General features: G+C 43.5%; 1 protein-coding gene across 5 annotated transcripts in view; it reads left to right on the top strand.

The window, feature by feature from the left end:
- Nucleotides 1–18066, top strand: part of RNGTT (RNA guanylyltransferase and 5'-phosphatase) — a 353722-nt gene that overhangs the window by 8921 nt on the left and 326735 nt on the right. For 4 of the 5 annotated variants that reach the window (NM_001286426.2, NM_003800.5, XM_047419443.1 and 1 more), the window contains exon 2: nt 13518–13627. The exons of the other annotated variant lie outside the window; for it this stretch is intronic. In NM_001286426.2, coding sequence (NP_001273355.1) covers nt 13518–13627 — 110 coding nt within the window. The remainder of the gene's footprint in view (nt 1–13517; nt 13628–18066) is intronic. 5 annotated transcript variants of the gene reach the window in all.

Below are 18066 nucleotides of genomic sequence, written 5' to 3'. Positions count from 1 at the left end.
ATGAGAGGATACTAGATAGAATTTCAATTATCTTAAATTTATTGAGACTAAATATCTGTTAAGTCCATTTGTTCTAGGGTATATTTAACTCTATTCTTTTTTTGTTGACTTTCTCTCTTGATGACCTGTCTAGTGCTGTCAGTGGAGTATTGAAGTCCCCCACTATTGTTGTGTTGCTGTGTATTTCATTTCTTAGGTCTCTAGTAGTAATTGCTTTACAAATTTTGGAGCTCCAGGGTTAGGTGCATATATAGGATTGTGATATTTTCCTGTTGGACGAATCCTTTTTTTCATTATATAATGTCCTTCTCTGTCTTTTTGAACTGTTATTCCTTTAAAGTTTGTTTTGTCTGACATAAGAATAGCTATTCCTGCCCGCTTTTGATTTCCAGTTGTGTAGAATATCTTTTTCTACCCCTTTACCTTAAGTTTATGTGAGTCCTTATGCATTAGGTGAGTCTCTTGAAGGCAGCAGATACTTGGTTTGTGGGTTGTTATCCATTCTGCCATTCTGTGTCTTTTAAAAGGAGCATTTGGGCCATTTCTATTCAATGTTAATACAGTATTGAGATAAGGTACTGTTCTATTCATAATGCTAGTTGTTGCCTAAATACCTTTTTTTAAAAAAATTCTGTTATCGTTTTATAGGCCCTGTGAAATTTATGCTTTAAGGATGTTCTATTTTGGTGTATTTTGAGGTTTTATTTCAAGGTTTAGAACTCCTTTTAGCATTTCTTGTAGTGTGTCTTTCATTTCTTGTAGTGGCCAATTCTCTCAGCATTTGTTTATCTGAGAAAGACTATCTCTCCTTCATTTATGAAGCCTAGTTTTGCTGAATACAAAATTCTTGGCTGACAGTTATTTTGTTTCAGGAAACTAAAGATGGGACCCCAATCCCTTCTGGCTTGTAAGGTTTCTGCTGAGAAATCAGCTGTTAATCTGTTAGGTTTTCCCTTATAGGTTATCTGAGGCTATTGTGTCACAGCTCTTAAGTTTCTGTCCTTCATCTTGACTTTAGATAACCTGATAACTATGTGCCTAGGTAATGATCTTTTTGTGATGAATTTCCTAGGTGTTCTTTGAACTTCTTGTATTTGGATGTCTAGATCTCTAGCAAGGCCAGGGAACTTTTCCTCAATTATTTCCTCAAATAAGTTTTTCAAACTTTTATGTTTCTCTTCTTCCTCAGGAACACCAGTTATTCTTAGGGTTGGCTGTTTAACATAATCCCACATTTCTTGGAGGCTTTGTTCATTTTTAAAATTTTTTTTCTTTGTTTTTGTCTGATTGGGTTAATTTGAAAGCTTTGTCTTCGAGCTCTGAAGTACTTTCTTCTACTTGTTCTAGTCTATTATTAAAATTTTCCAGTGCATTTTGTATTTCTCTAAGTGTGTCTTTCATTTCCAGAATTTGTGATTGTTTTTTCTTTATGATCTCTATTTCTCTCTGGAGAATTTTTCATCCATATCTTGTATTTTTTAAAATTTCTTTAAGTTGATTTTCACCTTGTTCTGGTATCTCCTTGAATAGCTGAATAATCAACCTTCTGAATTCTTTATCTGGCAATTCAGAAATTTCTTCCTGGTTTGGATCCATTGCTGGGGAGCTAGTATGATTTTTGGGGCGTTTTATAGAACCCTGTTTTATCATATTACCAGAATCACTTTTCTGGTTCCTTCTCGTTTGAGTAGACTGTTTCAGTGGAAAGGTCTGAAACTCAAGGCGTCTGTTCAGATTCTTTTGTCCCACAGGCTGATCCCTTGATGTTGTGCTCTCTCCCTTCCTCTAGGGATGGGGCTTGGGGCTTCCTGAGAGCTGGATTGGTGTGATTGTTATTGCTCTTCTGGTTCTAGTCACACTGTGGAGTTACCAGGCCCTAAGGCTGGTGCTGAAGAATGTCTGCAGAGTCCTGTGATGTAATCCATCTTCAGGTGTCCCAGCCATTGATACCAGCACCTGCTCTGGTAGGGGTGGCAGGGCAGTAAGTAGACTCTGTGAGAGTCCTTGGTTGTAGATATATTTAATGTGTCGGCTTTCTCAAATGCTGGTTATGCTAGTAGTGAAGTTGTCATGTGAACAGACTCAGGACCTCTGGTTAGCCAGGATGTTGCAGGCAGTGGTATATTAGCTGTTATTTTATCTTTCCTGGGAGCAGGATTATTTTGTCATGAGTTGCTGTAATGGCCTGAGTTAGTTGGCTTTCAGCCAGGAGGTGGTGCTTTCAAGAGAGCACTAGCTGTGGTGCTAGTTGGGGGATCTAAGTTTGTCTTAAGTTGGCCAGGGTTAGTATTCTGGTTTCTCAGGCAATAGGTGGGGCATAAAGCTCCCAAGAATTTCTGTCTTTTGTGTTCAGCAACCAGGGCAGGTAGAGAAATACCATCAGGTAGGGGAAGGATTAGGTGGATATGGGCTCAGACTCTCCTTGGGTGGGGCTTGCTGTAGCCACTGTAGGGGATGGGGGGTGGTTCTTGGGCCAACAGGTTATGTTCCAGAGAGGATTATGGCTGCCTCTGCTGTGTCATATAGTTTGCCAGGGAAGTGGGGGATAGCTGGTAATGAAAGGCTTCACCCAGCTCCCATGCAGTTGGTGAGGCTGGTCTTACTTCTGTGGTGCACCCCCTCACTCCTCAGACCTTGCCCCTGAATGTAAGTTTCCCCACTGAGAAAGCGAGCATGGCTTTCAGGCCCTACCCCTCCCTGTCTGCCTCCCTGTCTGCCCACTGGGCAGCTTTTGTGCTCATATCTGCAGCAGTTCCCGTTCATTCCCTGGATTCTGCTTAAGAAAATTCATGCCTGGTCAAAATTATTATGAGTTTCATTTGGAAGCTTTTTTCCCCCCATGACCCTCCCTAATTCTGCTGTCTGCTTTCCCCGAGGGCCCCTGTGAGATGTAGTCAGGAATGGCTTCCCTGGGCTTGAGCTGGAGACTGGGAGTGCCTACAAGGCTCTTCCTGCTGCTGCTTCTACTTTTATATTTCACTCGGCTCTCTAAATCCATTTCAGCTGTAGGTAAGATTAAATCCTTCTCCTGTGATCTGGATTTTCAGATTCCCCAATGGGGAATGTGTGTTCAGAGGCAGGTTTTATCCCCCCTCTCACACTTTGGGAGCTCATGGTTTTTCGCCTGTCTCGTGGAATTTACAGCACTGTCTGGCTTCTTTCAACGGATCTGTTTGGCTGTGGCAAGTTCTTGAAATCAGAGAGCAATGAAGTTTGCTACATAGATTGACTCTTCATGAAAGATTTCTCTGTAGCATTTTAGCCATGGTAGAACTTTCTTTAGCCATGGTAGAACTTTCTTCAGGGGTGGAGTCAATTCTCCCCAACCCTGCTGCTGCTTTATCAATCAAGTTTATGTAATATTCTAAATCCTTTGTTGTCACTTCAGCAATATTCACATCTTAACTGGGGCTAGATTCCATATCAGGAAACCACTTTGCTCATTTGTAAGAAGCAACTCCTCATCTGTTAAAGTTTTATCATGAGATTGCAGCAATTTGGTCACGTCTTCAGGCTCCACTTTAAAAAATGTTTGTATTGGCCAGGTGCGGTGGCTCACACCTATAATCCTAGCACTCTGGGAGGCCGAGGCAGGCGGATCACCTGAGGTCAGGAGTTCAAAACCAGCCTAGCCAACATGGTGAAACTGCATCTCTACTAAAAGTATAAAAATTAGCTGGGCATGGTGGCAGGCACCTGTAAACCCAGCTACTCATGAGGCTGAGGCAGGAGAATCACTCGAACCCGGGAGATGGAGATTGCAGTGAGCCAAGGTCGCGCCACTGTATTTCAGCCTGAGTGACAGAGTAAGACCCTGTCTCAAAAAAAAAAAAAAACCAAAAACAGTTATTTATTTATATTTTTTTGAGACAGTATCTCACTGTGTCCTCCAGGTTGGAATGCAATGGCATGATCATGGCTCACTGCCGCCTCGAACTCCTGGGTTCAAGCGATTCTCCCATCCCCGCCTCCTGAGTAGCTGGGACTACAGGTGTGTGCTACTATGCCTGGCTAACTTTCAGGCTCCACTTCTAATTCTAGTTCTTTTGCTATTTCCACTACATCTGCAGTTACTTATTCCACTGAAGTCTTGAACTCCTCAAAGTCATCCATGAGGGTTATAATAAACATTTCAAATTCTGTTGATATTTTGACTTTCTCCTATGAATCATGAATATTCTTAATGGCATCTAGAATGGTGAATCCTTTCCAGAAAGTTTTTGATTTATTTTGCCCAGATTCATCAGAGGAATTACTGTATATGGCAGTTATAACCTTATGAAATGTATTTCTTAAATAATAAGACCTTTTTTAGGGAACCCACTCTGTAAAGACAAACAAAAATAATATAGGACTTGAAAATTGAAACTATCCCTTGATCCATGGGCTGCTATGTTAGTAGGCATGGAACCAACATTAATCTCCCTGTACATTTCCATCAGAGTTCTTGGGTGCCTAGGTGCATAGTCAGTGAGCAGTAATATTTTGGAAGGAATCTTTTTTTCTGAGCAGTAAGTCTCAACAGTGGGGTTCAAAAAATTCAGTAAAACATTCTGTAAACAGATGGGATGTCATCCAGGCTTTTGTTGTTCGTTGATAGAGCACAGACAGAGTAGATTTAGCATAATTCTTAAGGGCCCTAGTATTTTCAGAATGGTAAACGAGCACTGGCTTCAACTTAAAGTTACCAGCTCCTAACAAGAAAGTCAGCCTGTCCTTTGAAGCTTTGAATCTAGGCATTGACTTCTCTCTAGCTATGAAAGTCCTAGATACCATTTTCTTCTAATAGAAGGCTGTTTTGTCTACACTGAAATCCTGCTGTTTAGTGGAGCCATGTTCATCAATTATCTTAGCTATATCTTCTGGATAATTTGCTGCAGCTTCCATAACAGCACTTTACCTTGTACCTTTATGTTAGAGAGATGGCTTCTTTCCTTAAACCTTGTGAATCAACCTCTGCTAGCTTCAGATTTTTCTTCTGCAGCTTCCTTACCTCTCTCAGCCTTCATAGAATTGAAGGGAGTTGCTGCCTTGGTCAAGATTAGGCTTTGGCTTAAATGGAAATGTTGTGGCTGGTTTGATCTATTCAGACCACTGAAATTTTCTCCATATCAACAATAAGACTATTTCACTTTTGGCCAGGCATGGTGGCTCACGTCTGTAATCCCAGCACTTTGGGAGGCCGAGGTGGGTGGATCACGAGGTCAGGAGTTCGAGACCAGCCTGGCCAATATGGTGAAACCCCGTCTCTACTAAAAATACAAAAAAATTAGCCGGGCATGGTGGTGCTCACCTGTAGTCCCAGCTACAGGGGCTGAGGCAGGAGAATCGTTTGAACCTGGGAGGTGGATAGAGGTTGTAGTGAGCCGAGGTTGTGCTACTGACTCCAGCCTGGGCAACAGAGCAAGACTCTGTCTCAAAAAAAAAAAAAAAAAAAAAGACTGATTATTTTGCTTTTTTATCATTTGTGTGTTCACTGGAGTAGCACTTGTAACAGCCTCCAAGAGCTTTTCATTTTCTTTTTTTTTTTTTTTTTTTCATTTTATTTTATTTTATTTTTTATTTTTATTTTTTTTAATTTATTTTTTTATTGATAATTCTTGGGTGTTTCTCACAGAGGGGGATTTGGCAGGGTCATGGGACAATAGTGGAGGGAAGGTCAGCAGATAAACAAGTGAACAAAGGTCTCTGGTTTTCCTAGGCAGAGGACCCTGCGGCCTTCCGCAGTGTTTGTGTCCCTGATTACTTGAGATTAGGGATTGGTGATGACTCTTAACGAGCATGCTGCCTTCAAGCATCTGTTTAACAAAGCACATCTTGCACCGCCCTTAATCCATTTAACCCTGAGTGGACACAGCACATGTTTCAGAGAGCACAGGGTTGGGGGTAAGGTCACAGATCAACAGGATCCCAAGGCAGAGGAATTTTTCTTAGTGCAGAACAAAATGAAAAGTCTCCCATGTCTACTTCTTTCTACACAGACACGGCAACCATCCGATTTCTCAATCTTTTCCCCACCTTTCCCGCCTTTCTATTCCACAAAGCCGCCATTGTCATCCTGGCCCGTTCTCAATGAGCTGTTGGGCACACCTCCCAGACGGGGTGGTGGCCGGGCAGAGGGGCTACTCACTTCCCAGTAGGGGCGGCTGGGCAGAGGCGCCCCTCACCTCCCGGACGGGGCGGCCGGCCGGGCGGGGGGCTGACCCCCCCACCTCCCTCCCGGACGGGGCGGCTGGCCGGGCAGAGGGGCTCCTCACTTCCCAGTAGGGGCGGCCGGGCAGAGGCGCCCCTCACCTCCCGGACGGGGCGGCTGGCCGGGCGGGGGGGCTGACCCCCCCCCACCTCCCTCCCGGACGGGGCGGCTGGCCAGGCGGGGGGCTGACACCCCCACCTCCCTCCCGGATGGGGCGGCTGGCCGGGCAGAGGGGCTCCTCACTTCCCAGTAGGGGCGGCTGGGCAGAGGCGCCCCTCACCTCCCGGACGGGGCGGCTGGCCGGGCGGGGGGGCTGACCCCCCCCCACCTCCCTCCCGGACGGGGCGGCTGGCCGGGCAGAGGGGCTCCTCACTTCCCAGTAGGGGCGGCCGGGCAGAGGCGCCCCTCACCTCCCGGACGGGCGGCTGGCTGGGCGGGGGGCTGACCCCCCACCTCCCTCCCGGATCGGGCGGCTGGCCGGGCGGGGGGCTGACTCCCCCCACCTCCCTCCCGGACGGGGTGGCTGCCGGGCGGAGACGCTCCTCACTTCCCAGATGGGGTGGCTGCCGGGCGGAGAGGCTCCTCACTTCTCAGACAGGGCAGCTGCCGGGCGGAGGGGCTCCTCACTTCTCAGACGGGGTGGTTGCCAGGCAGAGGGTCTCCTCACTTCTCAGACGGGGCGGCCGGGCAGAGACGCTCCTCACCTCCCAGACGGGGTCTCGGCCGGGCAGAGGCGCTCCTCACATCCCAGATGGGGCGGCGGGGCAGAGGCGCTCCCCACATCTCAGAATATGGGCGGCCGGGCAGAGACGCTCCTCACTTCCCAGTAGGGGCGGCCGGGCCCGAGGCGCCCCTCACCTCCCGGACGGGGCGGCTGGCCGGGCGGGGGGGCTGACCCCCCCACCTCCCTCCCGGATCGGGCGGCTGGCCGGGCGGGGGGCTGACTCCCCCCACCTCCCTCCCGGACGGGGTGGCTGCCGGGCGGAGACGCTCCTCACTTCCCAGATGGGGTGGCTGCCGGGCGGAGAGGCTCCTCACTTCTCAGACAGGGCAGCTGCCGGGCGGAGGGGCTCCTCACTTCTCAGACGGGGTGGTTGCCAGGCAGAGGGTCTCCTCACTTCTCAGACGGGGCGGCCGGGCAGAGACGCTCCTCACCTCCCAGACGGGGTCTCGGCCGGGCAGAGGCGCTCCTCACATCCCAGATGGGGCGGCGGGGCAGAGGCGCTCCCCACATCTCAGAATATGGGCGGCCGGGCAGAGACGCTCCTCACTTCCTAGATGTGATGGCGGCTGGGAAGAGGCGCTCCTCACTTCCTAGATGGGATGGCGGCCGGGCGGAGACGCTCCTCACTTTCCAGACTGGGCAGCCAGGCAGAGGGGCTCCTCACATCCCAGACGATGGGCGGCCAGGCAGAGACACTCCTCACTTCCCAGACGGGGTGGCGGCCGGGCAGAGGCTGCAATCTCGGCACTTTGGGAGGCCAAGGCAGGCGGCTGGGAGGTGTAGGTTGTAGTGAGCCGAGATCACGCCACTGCACTCCAGCCTGGGCACCATTGAGCACTGAGTGAACGAGACTCCGTCTGCAATCCCGGCACCTCGGGAGGCCGAGGTTGGCGGATCACTCGCGGTTAGGGGCTGGAGACCGGCCCGGCCAACACAGCGAAACCCCATCTCCACCAAAACCAGTCAGGCGTGGCGGCGCGTGCCTGCAATCGCAGGCATTCGGCAGACTGAGGCAGGAGAATCAGGCAGGGAGGTTGCAGTGAGCCGAGATGGCAGCAGTACAGTCCAGCTTCGGCTCCGCATGAGAGGGAGACCGTGGGGAGAGGGAGAGGGAGGGAGAGAGAGGGAGAGGGAGAGGGAGAGGGAGAGGGAGAGCTGCTGTCGAGCTTTTCATTTTCATTCACAACTTGGCTAACTGGTGCAAGAGGCCTAGCTTTTGGCATATCTGGGCTTTCAATGTACCTTCTTCACTGAACTTAATCATTTCTAGTTTTTGATTTAAATGAGAGACATATGATTCTTCATTTCACTTGAACACTTAGAGGCCATTGTAGGGTTATTAATTGGCCTAATTTCAATATTATTGTGTCTCAGGAAATAGGGAGGCTCCAGGAGAGGGAGAGAGACGGAGGAATGGCTGCTCAGTGGAGCAGTGAGAACACATACAGCATTTATTTATTAAGTTTGCCATCTTATGGGTGTTGTTCATGGCACTCCAAAACAATTACAGTTGTAACATCAAAGATCACTGATCATAGATCACTGTAACAAATATAATAATAATAAAAAAGCTTGAACTATTGTGGAAATTACCAAAATGTGGCACAGACACAAAATGAGTACATACTGTTGGATAAATTACTTGATAGACTTGATAGACAAAAGGTTGCCACAGACTTTCAATTTATTAAAAAATGCAGTATCTGTGAATTACAGTAAAGCAAAGTATGCCTGTAATACTAGTTTCTCTCATAAACAACTGCCCAAAACTCAGGAGTTCCAATCAAACTATATTTCTTGCTCATATCGGAATGTGTTGTATCAGGCAACTTTCCCAGGCTACTCTTCTCTGATTAGCAACTCGCTAGAGTCTTTCCATCTTTGATGCTGTCATCTTAAACATGTGACTTCTAAAGTTGCTATGAAAGGGGAGGAGCAGGCATGGGTGATCTCTCAGGGGGTTTTATGGCCAGGCTTGGTAGTCGTATAGCTAACTTTGGCCCGTATCCCATTGGCCAGAATCCAGATACATGGCCCTCACTCAACTACAAGAGAAACTGAGAAAGCTAGTCTTTCATTGTGTCCTGGAAGAAGAAAGTAAATTGACTGTGATGAACAGATAGTGTCATTTCTACCATGGCAATAGATAAAACTTCTCCCAGGCAGAGACCGTAGAGAGAGTAGAGAAGGTCCACAGTGGAACCCATAGAAACCTGACATTTAGACGTTGGTTAAAGAAAAAAGAGGGAACAAAGGAGTTGAGGACGAATAGCTAGAAATTGATGGAGGTGTTAGGTGGGTGATTGAAACTAACAAGAGTTTGGGTGTCATGTAAGGCAGGAGAGTTTTTCAAGAAGAAAGAAGTTGTCAGATACATGAAATGCTGCTGAAATGTTAAGATACTAGAAAAGTTGGTAAAATCTGTTGGTGACTGTGACAAATATTTTCAGTGGGAATGTGAGATCAGAAGCCAGATTAGAGTGGATTAATGAGCTACTTGGTTGCAAGTCTCTTAGAGAGTTGTAGTGGATTGCTGAGGAATATGTGTAGATGGCTCTGAGACCTGTCTAAGAGGCTAATTGCTACCTTTCCTACCTTTCGGATAGAGTGGCCAAAAGAATGGGGATAGCGTGGCCAAAAGGAATGATCAGAAGTGACTTGAGAATGGCCAGCTGACCTGAGAAGGAGGCAGGGGTTGGAACATTGAAGATGTAGGACTATCTTCATCAGCCCGTCTACCAAGGCCGTGGATGGACCTTAGTCATATCAGCAGAAGCTGCTGGGATGGAAACTAACAATGCCCAAAGATCAGATGCAATACAGTTCAGTTTACTGGAAGCAAGAGGGGAAAAAGATGGTGTACAAAATAGCAGTTGCCCCCCTTTCCCCCAATGCCAGGTTCTCTACCTTTGAGGAATGTAGTCACATTCAGGAGGAGAATCCTGATTTGACTGTGGGCTATCTTGAATGGGAGCTCAAAAACTAAATTATGCACAGTTATAGAGAAGTAAAGTCTACACTCTTGCTCACACATGTATACATAAATGAATTGGAGGTAATGAAGTAAAGATAGGAGTATGTGTATTAAACTTTTTAAAAAGTTTGGTTATGAAGAGGAGTAAAAATGAAGCATAAGTTGGGGGATAAGGGAGAGTTTAGGGCTTATTTAAATGCTGATGGAAATGAGCCAGCAGATGTCTGAGATGCTGAAGATGTTGGGGGTGGGGGTTGGGAGAGGAAGAAAGGATTGATTGGTGGCCCTTGAAAGGCAAGATGGTAAGGAAATCCCGAGCAGAAGGGAGGATTTTTAATGGGAGGAGGAGTATGGGCTGAGATACAGAAAGGTTTATAGATTAACTGCAAAGGCAAGGCAAGTTTCTGCCTAAAGGTGGAGAGGCATTGTTGAATAGCAGTTTCATTCATGGACTCTACATCCGTAGTCTTCATTTGAATCACTGTTTTTACCATTTATTAGTGGTGTGACATGTGGCAAGTTACTTAATCGCTCTTGCTTTGTTCTCATCTGTAAAACGAGGAATAATAACAATACTTATTGTTAGGAGTAAATGAATGAATTATGTACAGTATTTTAAACAGTGTCTAGCATGTGGTAAACATACACAATTAGCTTTAATTATTATGGCTTCTTTTGTTTTTTTCTTTTCAGTGAAGTCTAACTTAAAGTTGTCAGTTGAAAAGGGGATGTTTTAGGAATGAGGAAAAGATGTAAAATATTTATCATAAAGGAGAGCTAATGGTGTGTGGTAGGATTGCCTTTGATATTGGTGATTATGAAGTATAGTGTCACCCATCTTTTGTGCTGTGAGATTTGCTCTAGGAAGCCTCAGCTACATATGTGTAGGCACAAAGAAGTCAGGTGGTTAAGTTCATTGAGGTCTGGATTTTTCTCAGGTGAGTGTGACTGGGTAATGGGGGCAGAGCAAGGAGGTTAAGGGTATTTACAGGGGACTAATTATGTTGATCCACTGTGGGCTCTGATGTTGGATAAGAAGGAAAGGGAACCCTGAAAGAGCTGATGGAAATAGGATTGGACTTCTGAGGCAGTAGTAAGAGGGAGAGAAAGTCTGATGGGATGAATCTTCTTATTTATTTATTTATTATGTTTATTGCTCATGATTTATATTTTCCTAATAGAATATAAACACTATGAGGGCAGGGCTTTTCTGTTTTTTGTTTGTGTGTGTGTTTTTTTTTTCCTTTTCACTAATGTAATCCGTGCGCCTAGAACAATGCCTGGTACATAGTACATACCCACTATATATCTGTTAAACTAAATGAAGTAAAAGAAACCTAAATCAGATGTTGGTGGAGGTGGTGAGAAGTGGTCAGATTCTGGATGTATTTTGAAGGTGGAGCTACGGGATTTGCTGATGGATTGGATGTTGGGTGTGAGAAAAGGAGAATAGGCAAGGATAACCTAAAAGGTTTTGGTCTTGAGCTGCTAAAAGAATGATGTTACTATTTGCTGAGATAGGGAAGACCATGAAGGGAGCAGGTTTTAGAGTTTGAGTATTAAGAGTTGAGATTTGGATATCAAATCTGAGACATCTGTTAGACATAAAGTAGAGGTTCAGTAGGCAGTTGATATCCATCTAGAGTTAAGGGAGTGATTTGAACTGGAAATATAAATTTGTAAGTCATTAGCACATTGATGGCTTTTAAAGCCATGAGACTAGATGAGACACCAAGGGAGTGAATGAAAATATAAAAGAGGTCCAAGGATTGAGTCCTGAGACAAAACATAGAGGAGTCAGGGTGAGAGGGGGAGCCACTAAAGTAGACTGAGAAGGAGAGGCCAGAGAGCTAGAAGGAAAACCAGGAGGATATAATAGTATTCTGGAATTTAGGTGAAAAAAGTGGTTCTTTTGTCAAAAAGTGACCAGTTGTTTTATGTTGCTGAGAGCTTAAGGTGAGAACTGAGAGTTGACCATTTGATTTAGCAATGTGGAGGTTATGGGTGACTTTGATTTTGTAGAAAACAAAATCTTAAAAAATTATTTTTTCATGAAATTTAGCTTAAAGCCTTTGGACAGATGTTAAGACTTCACTTAGGCAGATAATATTGTTTTTATTGTGTTTGAAAATGTAAGGCCAGGCTCAGTGGCTCATGCCTATAATCCCAGCATTTTGGGAGGCCGAGGTAGGCGAATTGCTTGAGCTTAGGAATTCGAGACCAGCCTGGGCAACATGGCAAAACCTCATCCCTACAAAAAACACAAAAAATTAGCTGAGTGTGGTGGTGTGCGTCTGTAGTCCCAGCTACTGGGGGGCTGAGGTGGAAGGATTGCTTGAGCCCAGGAGGTTGAGGCTGCAGGGGCTGACATCACGCCACTGCACTCCAGCCTGGGCAACAGAGTGACACCCTGTCTCAAAAATAATACGCATACATATATCAGTTAAAATAGATGTTAAAAAAATTGGTTAGAGGTGACTTCCTCTATGCTATACTGTCATTCAGAAAAAAAGGTCAAAAAAAGTCAGTCTTTCTAGCTGAAATAACCACTGATAGTTGTTTGAAGGATGATTTTGGTTAGCATCCTCTCAGAATGATATCATATTCTAGCATGGTCTTTATCCTGAGATATAGAATAAAGCCTACAACTTTTTAGTATCAGGTTGGAGAAAGTTCCAACCTGATAATAAAAACCATATAGGGCATATAATCCCAGCACTTTGGGAGGCTGAGGTGGGTGGATCGCTTGAGCCCAGGAGTTTGAGACTAGCCTGGACAACATAGTGAGACCTGACAACGTGCTCCCCCCAGCAAAAAAATTAGCTGGTTATGGTGGTGTGCACCTGCAGTCCCAGCTACTTGGGAGGCTTAGGCAGGAAGATTGCTTATGTTTTTAAGAGTTTTAAATTAATAACTTTTTTAATGTAGTGGTGTAGAACTTAGATAATGGAAGTTCTATTCACTGGTAATTTTTCTTTTGCTGTTATATTTGATTGTCAATTTTTATAATTTTTTTGTCCTTGGCTGAGGCAGGAGAATGGCATGAACCTGGGAGGTGGAGCTTGCAGTGAGCCGAGATTGCGCCACTGCACTTCAGCCTGGGCTACAGAGCGAGACTCCGTCTCAAAAAAAAAAAAAAAAGATGTAGGGTAGTATCTTTGAAAAGTATAGTTTAAATTGAGAGTACTTTATGAACACTTGCATTTTTAGATTGCTTTTCCATTTAAAATGTTTTAAGAGGCTGGGTGCGGTGGCTCACGCCTGTAATTCCAGCACTTTGGAAGGCCGAGGTGGGTGGATTGCTTGAGCCCAGGAGTTTGAGACCAGCCTGGGCAATGTGGTGAAACCCTGTCTCTACTAAAAACACAAAAATTAGCTGGGCTTGGTGGTACACACCTGTAATCCTAGCTACTTGGGAGACTGAGGCAAGGTAATTGCTTGAACTCAGGAGGCAGAGGTTTCAATGAGCTGAGATTGCACCACTGCACTCTATCCTGGGGGACAGAGCGACACTTGGTCTCAAAAAAAAAGGTTTTAAGAAGGTGATATTTGAGAATTGTTAATTATAGAATTTTAATCTGAAACATTTCCTTTTATGGAAATGATTACCTATCTGTGTTGTTTAGGAAGATTCTTACCTCTGAAGACAATGTTAGGACCAAGATATGATAGTCAAGTTGCTGAAGAAAATCGGTTCCATCCCAGCATGCTCTCAAATTACCTAAAGAGCCTAAAGGTAAGAAACAAAATTTATTTTTGTCACTGATTTAATATACTTTGTTCAGTCTTGTTCTTCAGGTGGCTTTTAAAAAAATCTTATTATTTTAAAATAATTAATAGACTCAAGGGAAGTTGCAGTAATTGTACATAGAATTCTGTGAACCCTTCTCCCAGCTTCTCACAATGGTGTCATTTTATATAATTGTAGTACAATATCACAAGCAGGAAATTGACATTGATACAGTACTGTTAACTGATTGCAGATCTTATTTACTTTTGATATGCATTTGTGTGTGTGTGTAGTTCAGTACAGTTTGATCTCATGTGTAAATTCATGGTAGTGATTATAGAACTGCTGCATCTCCACAGAGGAATTCCCTCATGCTACCTCTTTATGGTCAAACTCTCTCCTCACCCCGTCCCTGTACTCGCCAGAGTAGAAAAACAAAAATGTGTAGTTTTTCCATTTAAGAGAATGCCCACCTGACATCCCAGCCCCCAGCAAAACTTACTATAGCCTCCACTAACAACCACACCCTGAGCTACCAAGGAAACTGACTGTGTTTACAGTTGAAGAAACCATACAGAGACTACACTACTGCATGCATCCAGAATCATAACCAAAGTGCTTTACCCGACCAACACCACAGATATAGCTTCAGGAAAAAGTCCTTCCCTCCAAAAGCTAATTCCAAAAATTGGGACTGGGGCTGGGTGCCATGGCTCATGCCTGTAATCCCAACACTTTGGGATGCTGAGGCAGGTGGATCACTTGAGGATAAGTGTTTGAGACCAGCCTGGCCAACATGGCAAAAACCTGTCTCTACTAAAAATACAAAAATTAGCCAGGCATTGTGGTGTGTGCTTGTAATTCCAGCATACTCGGGAGGCTGAGGCACAAGAATCGCTTGAACCTGGGAAGCGGAGGTTGCAGTGAGCCAAGATCACATACCAGTGCACTCCAACCCAGGCAACAGAGTGAGACTCTGTCTCAAAAAAAAAGAAAAGAAAAAAAAAAAAGAAAAACTGGGGCTGGGATGGTGGCTCATGCCTGTAATCCCAGCACTTTGGGAGACTGAGGCAGGAGGATTGCTTGAGGCCAGGAGTTTGAGACCAGTGTGGGCAGCATAGGGAGACCCTGTCTCTACAAAAAATTAAAAAAAAAAATTAGCCGGGCATGGTGGTGTGTGCCTGTAGTCCCAGCTACTTGGGAGGCTGAGGTGGGAGGATCACTTGAACCCAGGAGGTTGAGGCTGTAGTGAGCCATGATTACCCACTGCAGCCTGGGCGATAGTGTGACCGTGTCTCAAAAAAAAAGGAGAAGTGAGTGTTACACCAGATGTGCAGATATCAATGTAAGGACATGGCAAACATGAAAGAGCAAGAAATATGCCATCTCCAAAGGAACACAATAATCCTTCAGCAGCAGATAAAAAATTCATAATCCTTCAGCAGCATAATAAAAAAATTCATGAAATGGTGGACAGATAATTCAAAATTTTGATACTAAGGAAGCTCTGTGTAAGAAAGAAGAGAATACTGAAAAGCAATACAGAATACTGAAAAGCAATACAAATCAGAAAAACAATTCAGGGTATGAATAATAAGTTTACCAGAGATAGATATCAGAAATTCAAACAAATTCAGGAAATGAAGAATTCATTGAATGAAATAGAAAATAGATCAAAGCTTCAATAATAGACTAGATCAGGCAGAAGAAAGAATCTCAGAACTTGAAGACAGGTCTTTGGAAGTAACCTAGTAAGACAAAAATAAAGATAAAATGCTAAAAAAGAATGAGCAAAGCCTTCTTGAGATATAGGACACCAGAAAGTGGCCAAATATTCAAATTTTTGGTGTTCCAGAAGATGAAGAGAGAACAAAAGGGTTAGAAAACCTATTTAATGAAATAATAGATTAAAACTTTCTAAGTTTAACAAGAGGTTTAGACATCCAAGAGGATCAAAGATCCCACAAAAGATAATATCTAAAAAGGTCTTCTCCACAACGCGTTATAGTCAAACTGTTAAAAGTCAAAGAGAAAATTCAAAAAACATTAAGAGTGTCTAGTCATTTATAAGAGAGCTCCCATTAGACTAATAGTGGACTTCACAGGAAAAACCTTATAGGCCAAGCGAGAGTAGAGGATATATTCAAAGTTCTGAAAGAAAACGCCTACCACCCAAGGATACCATACCCAGCAAAGTTATTCTTTCTTCATAAATGAAGGAGAAATAAAGTCTTTCCCAGACAAGCAAAAGCTGAGGGAATTCACCACAACTGGACTGGTCCTGTAAGAAATGCGTTAGACAGTCCTGTACCTGAAATTGAAAGACTAGTAACCACCATCATGAAAACACAAAAATATAAATAAAAACCACTGACAGAGCAAACACATCAACAATGAAGGGGGAAAAACTCAAATGTTACCACTACACAATACCACCAAACCACAAAGATGAAACAATAAGAGAGAAAGAAAGGACAAAGAATATACAAAACAACCAGAAATTAATAAAATGACAGGAATAAGCCTTCACATATTAATAATAACCTTGAATGTAAGTGGATTACACTTTCCATTTAAAAGATGTAAACTGGCCGAATGGATATAGAAACACGACTTATCCATATGCTGCCTACAAGAAACTCATCTCAACTGTAAAGACACACATAGACTGAAAGTAAAGGGATGGAAAAAGTGTTCCATGCACATGGAAACCAAAGGTGAGCAGGAGTAGCTAAACTTATATCAGATAAAACAGACTTTAAGTCAAAAACAGTAAAAGGAGATCAAGAAGGTCATTATATAATGATAAAAGGATCAGTTTGGCAAGAGGATATAACAATTCTAAACATATATGCACTCAACATCAGAGTACCCAGATATATAAAGCAAATATTATTATATCTAAATGGAGATACAGTCTCCCGTATAATAGTAGTTGGAGACTTCAGCACCCCACTGTCATCATTAGACAGATTGTCAAGACAGAAAATTAACAAACATTGGATTTAAAGTGCACATTAGACTAAATGGACCTAACAGACATTTACAGAACATTTCATCCAGTAGCTATAGAATACACATTTTTCTTGTGAGGAAATGGAACAATCTCTAGGATAGACCATATGTTAGGACACAAAACAAGCCTTAACAAATAAAAAAGTCAAAATCATATCACATACCTTCTTAGACCACAATGGTAGAAAAGCTAGAAGTCAATAATAAGGGACTTTGGAAATTGTACAAATACATGGAAATTAAACATGCTCCTGAATGACCATTTGGTCAAGGAAGAAATTAAGGTGGAAATAAACCTCTTGAAACACATGAAAATTGAAACACAACATACCAAAACCTAAGAAGTACAGCAAAGCAGTGCTAAGAAGGAAGTTTATAGCAATAATTGCCTACATCAAAAATGTAGAAGGATTCAGATAAATAATGATGCACCACAAGGAACTAGAAAGGCAAGAACAAACCAAAAATTTGTAGAAGGAAAGAAATAATAAAGATCAGAGCAGAACTAAACAAAATAGACACTAAAAAAAAAAATACAAAGAATCAACAAAATGAAAAGTTGGTTTTTTTGAAAGGATAAACCAAATCAATAAATCCATTGCTAGACCAACCAAGAAAAACAAGACCCAAGTAAACTAAATCAGAAATGAGAAAGAGAATATTACAGTTGATACCACAGAAATACAAAAGATCATCAGAGACTATTTTTTTTTTTTGAGATGGAGTTTTGCTCTTGTTGCCTAGGCTGGAGTGCAATGGTGGGATCTCAGTTCACTGTGACCTCCACTCCCAGGTTCAAGTGATTCTTCTACTTCAGCCTCCTGAGTAGCTGGGATTACAGGCATGTGCCACTGCGCCTGGCTAATTTTTTGTATTTTTTAGTTGAGATGGGGTTTCTTCATGGTGGTCAGACTGGTCTCGGAACTCCTGACCTCACGTGATCTGCCCGCTTCGGCCTCTTAAAGTGTTGGGATTACAGGCGTGAGCCACCGTGCCTGGCCCATCAAAGACTATTATGAACAAGTATACACTAACTGGAAAACCTGGCAGAGGTGGATAAGTTCCTAGATATATGCAACCTACCAAGATTGAATCAGGAAGAAATAGAAAAGCTGAGCAGACCAATAACAGGTAGGGAGATTTAATCAGTAATGAAACATTTCCCAACAAAAAGTCTAGGACCGGATGCCTTCACCACCAAATTCTACCAAACTTTTAAGGAAGAACTAACACCAATCCTCAAATAATCCTGAAAAGATTGAAGAGGAGGGAATTCTAACTCATTCTGTAAAGCTAGCATTATGTTTATACCAAAACCACAACAAAAAGAGAAAACAGGCCAGTATCTCTGATGCAATGATGGTTCAGCATATGCAAATCAATAAATATGATACATTACATCAATAGAATGAAGGACAAACACCATGTGA

This window comes from Homo sapiens, chromosome 6, assembly GCF_000001405.40.
Source record: "Homo sapiens chromosome 6, GRCh38.p14 Primary Assembly".
Lineage (NCBI taxonomy): Eukaryota > Metazoa > Chordata > Mammalia > Primates > Hominidae > Homo > Homo sapiens.
This window is presented reverse-complemented; position numbering and strand designations above follow the sequence as displayed.